The sequence below is a fragment of the Homo sapiens genome, chromosome 2, assembly GCF_000001405.40.
Source record: "Homo sapiens chromosome 2, GRCh38.p14 Primary Assembly".
Taxonomy (NCBI): domain Eukaryota; kingdom Metazoa; phylum Chordata; class Mammalia; order Primates; family Hominidae; genus Homo; species Homo sapiens.
Genome location: NC_000002.12, coordinates 60,816,100 through 60,829,158, shown reverse-complemented (window position 1 = coordinate 60,829,158; position 13,059 = coordinate 60,816,100). Strand labels below are relative to the sequence as shown.

General features: G+C 47.7%; 1 annotated feature.

Annotated features, from left to right (window-relative positions):
- Positions 9,454-9,503: a silencer, noted in NCBI's record as "silent region_11520". NCBI's record gives its function as "represses an Ori minimal core promoter by ATAC-STARR-seq in GM12878 lymphoblastoid cells {active_cell/tissue: GM12878}" and the evidence as "EXISTENCE:reporter gene assay evidence [ECO:0000049][PMID:35858748]".

The following is a 13,059-nucleotide window of genomic DNA, read 5'->3' as shown; positions in this document are numbered from 1 at the left end:
AACAATAATCCCAAAAGAAACGAAAGGAGATGGGCAGAACAATAAACATCCACACTCTTAAGGCCATCCTTGATGCATATTTTAATATGATTTTACCTGGAGGAGAGCCTGTGGAAGGAGAGTACACAATATAATTTGGCTCAGGTCCTCCATGCCCTAGGAAAGGATGTGGTCCCCAAACTCCTCTACATAAGGCTGGGACAACCTTGTCATATTCCCCCGGGGTCTATTATGCATTCATTGTCAATAGATTAAAAAATGAGATACGCTGTTTTATCTGAATTTATGATTCCCATTCAGTTCAACAGACACCTTGAATAAAATATAAGCTCTTCGCTTAGCCCAAAGCCCTTACCCCCTCATACCTCCACTCCTTCCTGCCCCCCATTGAGTTCCATCCACTCAGGCCTCCTCTGATTTCTCAAAGCCTGAGCTCAGTCCTGCCTGGGGAACTTTACACTGCTGTCCCCCTCTGCCTGAAACTCTCTGCCCCTAGATCTGGGCAAGGCTGGCTCCTGCGGAGGCCGAGCCAGCAGGGCTGCCAGTTTGGGCACTGCACAGAGATGCTGGACTGTGGGGGTGGTGATATCTGAAATTCAGTCCCAGTGCTGTCTGCTAAGTCTTGTGCTCTGAGAAGAGGTACATTTTTCTTCACCAAATACAGCATCCTGTAGCAAAGTCAAGGGTCCTTGGAGCTACATTTGGCTAATGGGGAGATCTTTGTCTAATTTATATACACCACATAAGGCTAGTAGTGGTGGCTGGGCTAGAGGGCCTCCTCATCAGAGCTGGAGAATTTTCTCCCCTACTGGATGATGACCATGTGGCTAAGTTGACACTAGAGCCAGAATCTTGAAACTTAGGACAAAGGTCACCTGGTCGCCAGTCGACCCCTCTAACTGAAGATGAGGGAGAGGGAGCTTCAGAGGGTGATCCCAAAAGCTGGTTCTGGGCTCTGCCTGTCTCCGTACTTTTTCAGTTCAGTTACTTCTTCACCTATGCACTCCATGGCCCACTATCTGAACTCCCAACATGTGTGAACCAGGGATTACAGACCCTGCTCTCAGGGAGTTTGCAGTCCACAGGGAGATACAAATAAAATAATCACACCAACAACATGGACATTAAACTGTGATGAGTGCCAGGTGCAGTGGCTCACGCCTGTAATCCTAGCACTTTGGGAGGCTAAGACGGCAGGATCACTTGGGGTCAGGAGTTTGAGACCAGCCTGGTCAACATGGTGAAACCCCTTCTCTACTAAAAATACAAAAATTAGCCGGGAGTGGTGGCACACGCCTATAACCCCAGCTACTGGGGAGGCTGAGGCAGGAGAATCGCTTGAACCTGGGAGGCAGAAGTTGCAGTGAGCTGAGATGGTGCCACTGCACTCCAGCCTGGGCCACAGAGCCAGACTCCGTCTCAAACAAACAAACAAAAACTGTGATGAGGGCCAGAAAGGAGGAGTGGGTGGGCTTTGAGAGCACGAGGTGGAGGAACTTCACCTAAGGTGGAGGGGTGGGGGTGAGAAGACGTCCTTGAAGAAGTGATTCCAGTTGAGAATAGAAGGACAGTGGCTGGGTGCGATGACTCATGCTTGTAATCTCAGCACTTTGGGAGGCTGCGGTGGGTGGATCACTTGAGCCCAGGAGTTCAAGACCAGCCAGGGCAACGTGGGGAGTCCCGGTCTCTACAAAAAATAAATAACTAGCTGGGTGCAGTGGCATGTGCCTATAGTCCCAGCTACTTGGGAGGCTGAGGTGCAAGGATCTGCTTGAGCCCGGAAGATCGAGGCTGCAGTGAACCATGCGTGTGCCACTGCACTCCAGCCTGGATGACAGAGTGAGACTTCGTCTCAAAAAAACAAAAAAAGAGACTAGGGGATGGGTAGGAGGTGACCAGGCAGAGAAAGGATGGGACATGTGGAAAGCAGTAGCCTGGTCCAAAGAAGTTCTTAAAGGAAAAACTTCAGCCAAATTAAATTTAAGAGTTTGAGCATAAAAGGATTCGCCAATCAGGCAGCCTGCTGAGCCAGAGTAGGCTCAGAGACTCCAGTGCAGTCACATAGTGGAAGAAGATTTATTGACAGAAAAAGGAAAGCGATGTACAGAAAATGAAAGTGAGGTACAGAAACAGCTGGACTGAAGCCAGGTGCAGTGGCTCACACCTGTAATCCCAGAACTTTGGGAGGCTGAGGCAGACAGATCACCTGAGGTCAGGAGTTCGAGACCAGCCTAGCCAACATGGTGAAACCCTGTCTCTACTAAAAATGCAAAAATTAGCTGGGTGTGGGGTCATGCACCTGTAATCCCAGCTACTCAGGAGGCTGCGGTGGGAGAATGGCTTGAACCTGGGAGGCAGAGGTTGCAGTGAGCTGAGATCACTCCACTGCACTCCAGCCTGGGCCACAGAGCAAGACTCCATCTCAAAAAACAAAAAAGGAAAAGAAAAGAAAAGAAAAGAAACAGCTGGATTGGTTATAGCTCGGCATTTGCCTTATTTGAGCGCAGTTTGAACAGTTGGCTACATTTGATTGGCCAAAACTCAGTGATTGGCACAAGAGTAGGCTACAGTCTGTTTACAATTCCATTTAGGTTATAGTTCATGATGTACAGAAAAACATTTAGGCTGAACTTAAAATATGTAAAGAGGTAGCTTCAGGCTAAACTTGATATAACAAAATACAGAGGCCTGGACCCAGCTCATGGTGCAGGTCATGCTAGTGCCCAGAAGTGTTTCAAACAAGGCTTTTTGTCTTTTAAGAATCTGCTGTTATTCATCACTGAGATGACATCTGCATATCATTCTGGCAAGTGTTCCCTCAGGTCCAAGTAGAGCATGACTCAGTGGCATGTTGGAGAAGGTTCCTTTCTGCTCGCATGGGCTGACTGCGCATATCCCTTCCCAACTGCACATTCAGTGATGTCACATTGGTCTAGTGGCACTGTTGCTTATGGTGGCAGTATTTGCACCAGGGAAATCAGCACACACTGCAAAGCAGGGCATTTTGTTTTTCTTAGAGAGCTGATGATAAATATTTACTAGCATGCCACAGCATGAGCCACCTTTCACAGTCCCAGAGAAGATGCCCAATTTCTCAGAGCATCACAAATTTTCTTGAAAAGATTGGATTTATGACAAAGTGACACGACAGCCTTTGGATCCTGCCTCAGACAGCTGGAAAAAGCTGCTGCCAACCTACTAAAGATCTAGCATGATTTCTGTCACTCATGGAATGTTTCCTGCAATGGGCTTTCAAGAAACAGAACTTCCTAACTGCTGTCATTTGAGGGGGATGGAGGGGGTTGGACTTGGCCAGTCAGCACTGCTTGCTAATTCCCTCCATGGCCAGAGACTGTTACCACGTCCTGGGACAAATAGTAAAGGCACCTAGGACCTCATCTCTCTCCTCTGAGGACTAGCAGTTGATTAGCAACATAGGACAGTTAGAAATTATGGGTGTAGGCCAGGCACAGTGGCTCATGCCTGTAATCCCAGCACTTTGGGAGGCCGAGGTGGGCAGATCACCAGAGGTCAGGAGTTCGAGACCAGCCTGACCAACATGGCTAAACCCCATCTCTACTAAAAATACAAAAAAATTTAGCCAGGCCTGGTGGCGGGTGCCTGTAATCCCAGCTACTCAGGAGGCTGAGGCAGGAGGATGGCTTGAGCCCGGGAGGCAGAGGTTGCCGTGAGCCGAGATTGCGCCACTGCACTCCGGCCTGGGGCAACAGAGCGAGACTCTGTCTCAAAAAAACAATACAAAACAAAACAAAAAACAAAACAAAACAAAAAACCCAAAAGCAAAACAAAACATAAAAACAAACAAAAAGACCTCACAAATTATGTGTGTAATTCTGTAATTCTGATCCCCAGCTTTCTACCACCCTCGTGCTTTTGGGAGGGCCTGATTCAGATGAAGAGTCTCCTGAGAGCATGGATTGTCTCAGATGAAGAGTCTCCTGAGAGCATGAACTGTCTCAGGTATCCGTGTGTTCCTCAGTGTCTGGCTTGGTGACTGGCACACAATCTTGCACTAGATACTGGCTTTTGAATTAATGCACGCCGTGAAAGAGAACCCAGAAAGTCTGCACAGCTAGAGCTTCTCCTCACCCTGGGTTCTTTGTGATTTGACTTGCTGGTGATTTCTATTTATCCTGCTAAACTCAACTCAGGGGAGCCCTGGAAGCCCCTCCTAGTACGCTGACACTGGGGAGATATGATCCTCCTTATCACAAGGTATCCCCAGTACCTGTCCCCCCAGGTGGTTCTCCCCACTCTGAGTGTCTACATCTCATTCATTCCTCCAGTCCCAGTCCTTGGCACAGTGCTTGGTACAGAATAGGTGCCAGTGACTATTTAATGTGTGAATGAGGGGCTGAAGCTAGTGCAAACAGGAGCTTAAAGTTCAGGAAAGATTGGAGAAAGCGACACTTAACAAGCTCCTTCTGTATGCCAGGTATATGAAGGACAGCGCAGAACACGGCACCCCAAAATATGCTACTTTGGCATAGGATTATTTTGAGCTGACAACCATTGAGAAGAAGCAGATACATGAAAGGCTCTCTGCTTGCCCTCTATTTGCCCAAAAGCAAGACACAAATTTTTTTTTTTTTTTTTTTTGAGATGGAGTTTCACTCTTGTTGCCCACTCTTTTTACTCCCAGGCTGGAGTGCAATGGTGTGATCTCGGCTCACTGCAACCTCTGCCTCCCAGGTTCAAACATTTCCGCTGCCTCAGCCTTGTGAGTGTCTGGGACTACAGGCATGCACCACCACACCCGGCTAATTTTTGTATTATTAGTAGAGACAAAGTTTCACCATGTTGGCCAGGCTGGTCTCGAACTCCTGACCTCAGGTGATCCGCATGCCTTGGCCTCCCAAAGTGTTGGGATTACAGACATGAGCTGTGGCGCCTGGCCCAGGACACCAATTTGTAAAGGTTTCTCCTCCTCTCCTCTCTACCAAGAAGGACAGAAGTTAATCACTGGCGAGAAGTCTAGACCTTTATAAACCCAGAGAGGGCACCAGAGGAATACGTACGTACGTGTGATGCACATGTTAATCTATTTTTCGTCAGTTGAATTTACAGGGCCCCAGCTGGAAAATTTAGGAGAGTAGAGGGAAAAAGATTTTCTTCCCCTACGCATTGTACAAAGTCCTTGCATACTTTCTCTCTTTTAATTTTTACAACCCCTTGAGGTAAATTCTACTATTCCCATTTTACAGAGGAGGAACTGAAGATCAGAGCTGTTAAGTAACTTACTCAAAGTCACACAGCTCATCAAAGGAGGGCCTCCTATTAGCGTCCAAATATAACGTTGTGCCTTCTACTGCACAGTGATGTAGGGTGGGCTGGAGTCAGAACACTCAATTGTAGCCCATGAGACACTGCTGGGTATAAGGACCCCTTTCTTTGCCTGCTGCTTGCCTGCAACATTACCACCTTCACCCCTTGAAGCCAGTTTGTCTGCATATTGATTTGATTTAGGCTTACAGGACTTCAGGGTCTATTTCCATTGTGCTTCTCAAGGAACATTTTGCAATATTTGTTTCATTCACTTCAAGTTCTTAAGACTTATGTTTTCCCATTTATGGGTACATGGACCAAGAAGCTGATGGAATCAGTAAGTGTATTTTGCTGAAACTCTTGACCAGTGTGTCTTACAGTGAAAACTAAGACTAAAATCCTAAGCCCCCAGTCAACTGCATGGACCCACTCTTGGTCAAGGGGAACCCCCGAGACAGCCGAAAAACAGACTACCTGGCCATAATGGGAAGGAGGGTCAGACCAGCCTCATTATACCCACTCCCTTTTGGAGTTTAGGCACAACTGGCCAGCCTTAATGTTAAAATAGAGATCACAAGACTGACAAAACAGATTCTTTGTGGCACTAAGATTCCAGATTTTAAACCATGCGAGGCCAGGGTGAAGTCATGCCTGCAGGCCATCAATTTTGCTATGTAGCATCCTTATCTTAATTTAAAACATTCTTTTTTGCTGACGCCAAATTTTAGACAGAGCCTTACTCCTTTAACCAACTGTAAATTAAAGAATATCTGAATCCACTTATAACCTGTAAGCCCTCCACGTCAAGATATCCCGCCTTTTTGGGTCATACCAATATATACCTTCCATGTATTGATTTATGTGTTTGCCTGTAACTCTTGCCTCTCTAAAATGTATAAAAGCAAACTAATCTGACTGCCTTTGGCACACTTTTTTTTTTTTTTTTTTTTTTTGAGACAGAGTCTTGCTCTGTTGCCCAGGCTGGAGTGCAGTGGCGTGATCTCAGCTCACTGCAACCTCTGCCTCCCGGGTTCACGTCATTCTCCTGCCTCAGCCTCCTGAGTAGCTGGGATTACAGATGCCTGCCACCATGCCCGGCTAATTTTTTGTATTTTTAGTAGAGACGGGGTTTCACCATGTTGGCCAGGCTGGTCTGAAACTCCTGACCTCAGGTGATCTGCCTGCCTCAGCCTTTCAAAGTGCTGGGGTTACAGGCGTGAGCCACCTTGCCCGGCCACCTTTGGCATACTTTCTTGGGACCTCTTGAGGCTGTGTTTCCCCAGGCCATGGTCATTCACATTGGCTCAGAATAAACCTCTTTAAAATATTGTACACAGTTTGTTTTTTTCCATTAACAGAGTGTAGCTCCAGGATAACCTGCATCAGAATCCCTGGAGCCATGGGTAAGATTTAGCGTCTCAGCCCATAGAGCAGGTCCTTGGATGAGACCCTGAAATATGCATCTTACCCAGGAACCCCTGTCTGAATGTTTTGAAGGAATTTTCAAGGATCTGTTTAAAATTTTAAGGTACAATTTACATAGAGCTAAGTACACAAATCTTAAGTGTATTATAGCTAGAATTTTTATATAAGGGTACAGATTTTAACCTAATTACACATTTGTGGAATAACCATTCAAATCAAGATAGGGAAGAAAAATTTCCCTCTAAGTCTTCCCTGAGGTACATACTATGCTGACTGTCACCGTGGGCTAGTTTTTGTTGTTCTTGAACTTCATAGATCATACAGCACATACTCTTTTGCATCTGTTTCCTTTTACTTATACTATGCTTTTGCAATTTGTCCATGTTGTATGTGTAGCAGTAGTTAGTTCCTTTTTACTGCTGGTAAAATTGCATTGTATGAATATAGCCCCATTTACTTATATATTGATTGTCTTGTTGAAGTTCATTTCGATTGTTTCCAGTTTGTGGTTATTATGAATAAAGCTGCTGCGAGCATTCTTGTAATAGTCTTTTGGCTGTCTTGGGGACTTGAGGTTTTCTTGGGCAACTACCTAGGAGTGAAACTGCATCAGGCTTAAGGTTTGACAGAGAGGTAGGTGAGGGCTTATATATAACCATGAACAAGTAATGCATGTTGGGCAGGAACATCAACAGCTGCCACCCCAAAGGAAGAGAAGGCCTGGTGGGGCACTCAGTGGCTGAGCCTAGCTCATGGACTTCCAAAAGGTGATATTGAGGCTGGGCACGGTGGCTCACGCCTGTAATCTCAGCACTTTGGGAGGTCGAGGTGGGAGGATCATGAGGTCAGGAGTTTGAGACCAGCCTGGCCAGCATGGCAAAACCCTGTCTCTACTAAAAATACAAAAATTAGCTGGGTATGACGGTGTGTGCCTGTAGTCCCAGCTACTTGGGAGGCTGAAGCATGAGCATCGCTTGAACCTGGAAGGTGGAGGTTGCAGTGAGCCAAGATTGTGCCACTGCACTCCAGCCTGGGCGAAGAGCGAGACTCCATCTCAAAAACCCCAAAAATCAAAAGGTGATATTGCCCCCAAGGGGCTGAAAATTGTTTACTGAGAGGGATGTGTATGTGGAAAAAAATCTTAGACATTACAATGGTTTGTGGCCTTTAGATATGCTGACATACAGTAATGTCATGGGGAGAGGAGCGATAAGAAAAAAAATATCTTCCAAGGCTCCTGAGGGGGTGAAAATGAAAAAAGCTTGAGAAACATCAGTCTAGATAAGTCTGGACTTTCTCATATCTCCAAAGCAGAACCTGCAAGGGTGATCTCACTCTTTGGTCAAGGAGAGTAAATTGGGAATAATAAGCCTCACAACGCAGAGATGCCCAGGGAAAACCAAACAGCTAGGCCAGGTGTAGTAGCTGCCGTCTAACATCCCAGCACTTTGGGAGGCCAAGGCAGGTGGATAGCTTGAGCCCAGGAGTTCAAGACCAGCCTGGGCAACATGGGGAAACCCCATCTCTATAAAAAATACAAAAATTAGCCAGAAGTGGTGGTACATACCTGTAGCCCTAGCTACTAGGAAAGCTGAGGTGGGAGGATCACTTGAGCCTGGGAGGTTGAGGCTGCAGAGAGCCAGGATCGTGATGTGGACAGGAGACAAGGAAGTACTGGGTAGAACAGGGTGGTTCCCCGGCAAAGACCTCACCCTCAAGCCTGAAGACCTGTGGCCCTAAACGAGGACAGGCATTCCTGTTTTCACGCCCCAAAAGTTGCCTTTTGGCCTGCCATGGCCCCTATCCTGTACCATCCTGTACCCATATAAACACCAAACCCCAGGCTCCAGAAGCAGACAAGCAGGTGAAAAGATGAGAAGACAAGCAGATGCAGGGTGGAATGGAGGGCGCGGCAGAGAAAGACAGAAGAGGAGAAACATCTGAACGCCGAGAGGAGTTGGGCTGTTGGTGGTGGGAGAGGAGTTCAGCTCTGGACGGCCCGGCTCCAGGGGAAGACTGTCTTCCCACTCCATCCCCTGCTTCTGTCTCTCTATCCATCCCCGCTGAGAGCCACCTCCACTACTCAGTGAAATTCTCACATTTATCCTTCAAGTTCGTGTGTGACTGGTTTTTCTGGGATGCTGGACAAGAGCTTAGGATACAGAAAGCTGTCACATTGGCCCTCTGCCCTTGCGGAAAGGCAGAGGGTCCACGGAGCTGGTTAACACTTGAGCCGTCCATGGACCGCAAGGCTAAAGGGGCACATTGTAACACACGCCCACTTGGGCCCCTGCACCTGTCCATCTGCGTGCTCCCCCTCCCTTAAGGGCTTTGAGCAACGGTGGCGGTGGCGACCCAACAGGTGAGCCACACCCCTGTTGTGCATCCTGCGGGGGGATCAGGGAACTCTACCATTTCGGTCATGCCACTGCACTCCAGCCTGGGTGACAGAACGACACCCTGTCTCCAAAATAAATAAATAAAACAAAAACTAAAACTAAAACTCCCAAATCGCTAAATTCTTGTGTGCATGTCGGGTAGGGTAGGGGCTTGTAGGGACAAGGACACAATGGCGCCCTGAAAGGACAGGTAAGTAACCACAGTCTAGATAGATCCTGCTCTAGTCGGCACAGGGACCACCTGACATAGAAGAGGAAAAGTTTCTTGGGTTCACACCTTTCGTTGAGGGAGGAAGTGATGAATGTCTCCGTAGGCCCTGCTGGGCGTCACTGAAGATCAGATCCGGCGTGGAGGAAGCTCGGGAACCACAACACAGCCGCCACACTCGAGGCTTACTCGGCACCTCTCACCCATTGTTCTCCTTTAACTCATGCATGATGTTTCCGCCCTCAGCAGGTCTTCCCTTGTGAGCGAATGGAAAGAAAGTAAAAAATCTGGAAAGAATGAATGCACCAAAGAGAGAGCAAAAACCATGAATCAAGCCAGAGGGAGACACACTCAGCCCACAGACACCAGGAAGGAAGGGAGGCTTTGAGAGAAGGCTTGCAGCTCTCCTTCACCCCTGTTCTCTGTAAGCCAGGTGTCTGGTGGGCCGCTCACTGCATCTGAGGGGTATGTGGCCAGCTGTGAGAAGGACCACAGGGGCAGTGCACCCCACCAGGCCAGGCACTGCCTTCAGCCCTGGATGATACATACCGGCAGTGTAGGACGGTGGTGGAACCCACTCATAACCAGTGTGGCCTGAGCAGGTTACAGACCCATCCATTCTTTAGCTTTCTGTGCTTTGGTCTCCTCATCTGCAGAACAGGGCTGGGAATAATGGTCTCTTCCTCACTGTGGTGTTACGAGGATTCAATTGGTGAATATATGTTAAGTACTCAGAACAGATCTTGGGACATAGTCTCGCTATGTGGGCACTGGCTTTCTTTTTTTTTTTTTTGAGACAGGGTCTCGCTCTGTTGCTCAGGCTGGAGTACAGTGGCAAGATCATGGCTCACTGCAGCCTTGAACTCCTGGGCTCAAGGGATCCTCCCCACTCAGCTTCCCAAATAGCTAGGACCATGGGTGTGCTACTATCCTTGGCTAATTTTAAATATATATTTTGTAGAGATGGGGTCTTGCTACATCGCCCAGCCTGGTCTTGAATTCCTGGCCTCAAGTGATTCTCCCACCTTGGCCTCCCAAAGCATTGGAATTACAGATGTGAGCCACCACACCCCACCAAGGACTGGCTTTTATTATTACAAAAAACAAGTGATACCGGCCCTCAAGTTGCTCCCACACTAGGGAGGGTACCACCTTTCCATTTCTTATTCAACTGAAAAGGCTGACAGGAAAGAATGACTTTAATAATACTTTTGCCTGTTCTTATCTAGACTTCAGGCAGGGATACTGCTGCCCCCTTGGGGTTGTCATTTCTTGACTGACTCACTTTCCCCTTCTTTCCCCCTCAGCAGCCAGGCTCCCAAAGGGGATGATCACTGACTTTGGGGTGGGGGTGGGATATGTAGCCAAGAGGAAATGTTGATCGAACCCCTGATGACTCATGAGTCACTCTACGTTGGACTCCACAGGGTGAGGTCACAGTACAGACAGGGAGCCCAAGCTCAGGGTCTGAAATGGAGCTTGGCCAAGAAATGGAGCTGTTTTCACACAAGGGATGCTTCAGAGCCGTGGCGGTAACTGTGGACCCTGCACATCACATTCTCTTCCTTCCCATGTTAGTTTGTTAAGAGGGATATGATGAGCTGGGGTCACGAAAACACAGGTACGATTGATTCCTCTGCTTGTTGGTGTGGCTTTCAGGGGCCCAGCTTATTTGTTCTGTGTCCACCTACCCATAGATCCTTCAACCTCCTTGGGAAGCCATCGAATGAATTATTCTGAGCATCACGGGTTGCATTATCCAGGAAACAGTTTCCACGACGGCAGTTTGTGCACAGAAAGTTTATTGGGGAATGCTGTCAAGATTAACACCTGTGTGGGGAGAGCAGGAAGCCAGATGAATAGAGGAAGAAGCTGAACTTTAATGCTGTGGAAACAATGGCTTCCACCAATGCCACAAGGAGCTCTGGAGCAAGGATGGCCCTTTGAAATTGGAGCATAGGGCAGGTTGCTACCCTTGTATTGACCATGGGATACAGCCCCTGCTCTAGAAAGTAGTAATGGCCTTGAGTGAGGCAGCTTCTCCTCAGCCCAGGGCAAACCCTGGAAAAGATGCAGCTGCAAGCTCCAGCTGCCAACACTCCTGGGAGCTGGCATTATCAACACCTCTACTGCAGCCCAGCATCCACCACACTGGGCATAGGCTTTAGACCTTTCTTACTTTTACCAAGTGTGTTTGTTTGTTTGTTTGTTTGTTTTGACAGTCTCACTCTGTTTCCCAGGCTGGAGTGCAGTGGTGTGATCTAGGCTCGCCGCAACCTCTGCCTCCAGGTTCAAGTGATTCTCCTGCCTCAGCCTCCAGAGTAGCTGGGATTACAGACATGAACCACCACGCCCGGCTAATTTTTTGCATTTTTAGTCAAGACAGGTTTCACCATGTTGGCCAGGCTGGTCTCAAACTCCTGACCTCAGGTGACCCGCCCATCTTGGCCTCCCAAAGTGCTGGGATTACAGGTGTGAACCACCGCACCCAGCCACTGCCACGAGTTTAAATCGTTTGCATTCTCTACGATCTTTAAGTATGATAGTTAGGGACACAGGTTTTGAAGTCTGACAGACTTGTGTTCACATCCCATTCCTGCCATTCATTTGACAATATTTATGGAGTATCTCTCTATTTCAGGTGCTGTTCAAGGCACTGAGGGTACAGCAGGGAATAAAAGAGGTAAAAGCCCTGCCTCTGGGGCTGATGTTCCATGAGTGACAGGAGGACACAGATGATTAAAAGAGAAACATGGAATACATGATGATTAGTGCCATGTGATAATATATACTTATTACACTTAAAAAATTAAGTGGGGCATGTGGGGGCGGGGCCAGGGGGGAGGAGGGAACTCAGGAAAGGCTTCCCTGAGAGGTGTGGCCATGGAGAGATCAGGGAAGCTGGATTGGGGGTTGGGGGAAACTGTGCAAAGACCCTGGGAAGAAGGTGTGCTGGGGGTGTACAAGGCACGCAAGGAGGAAGAGAAAATGGGTAGAGAACAGGGTTTCAGAAGTAGATAAAATCAGAGAGGTTTATATGAAATATCCAGAATGGGCAAATCTATAGGCACAGAAAGCAAGTTGCTTAGGGCTACAGGAGTAGGCACAATGGGGAGAGGTGACTTTGGGGTGCAAGTTTCTTCTTGAAATAATGAAAATAACCTGAAAGGCACTGAGATGACAACAGCTGCACAGCTCTGTGAATATATGGAAAGTTATACAATGGTTTTTTCAATGTACGCTTTAAATGAGTGAACTGTGTGGTGTGTGAATTGTATCTTAATAAAGCTATTTATTGTGTGTGGGTTTTTTTTTTTTTTTTAATGGAGTCTCGCTCTGTCGCCCAGGCTGGAGTGCAATGGTGCGATCTCAGCTCACTGCAACCTTTGCCTCCCAGGTTTAAGAGCTTCTCCTGCCTCAGCCTCCTGAGTAGCTGTGATTACAGGCACCTGCCACCATGCCCGGCTAAATTTTTTTTGTATTTTTAGTAGAGACGGGTTATCACCATGTTGGCCAGGCTGCTTTTGAATTCCTGACTTCAAGTGATCTGCCTGCCTCGGCCTCCTAAAGTGCTAGGATTACAGGTGTGAGCCACTGCGCCTGGCCAATAAAGCTATTTAAAGAATCAGAGTAGTGACTGACACGGGACTGTACCATGCAGAGCCTGGTGGTCCACGGTCAGGATTTGCACTTTGACTCAGATGGGACACTACCAGTTGGTTTTAACCAGAAGAGTGAAAT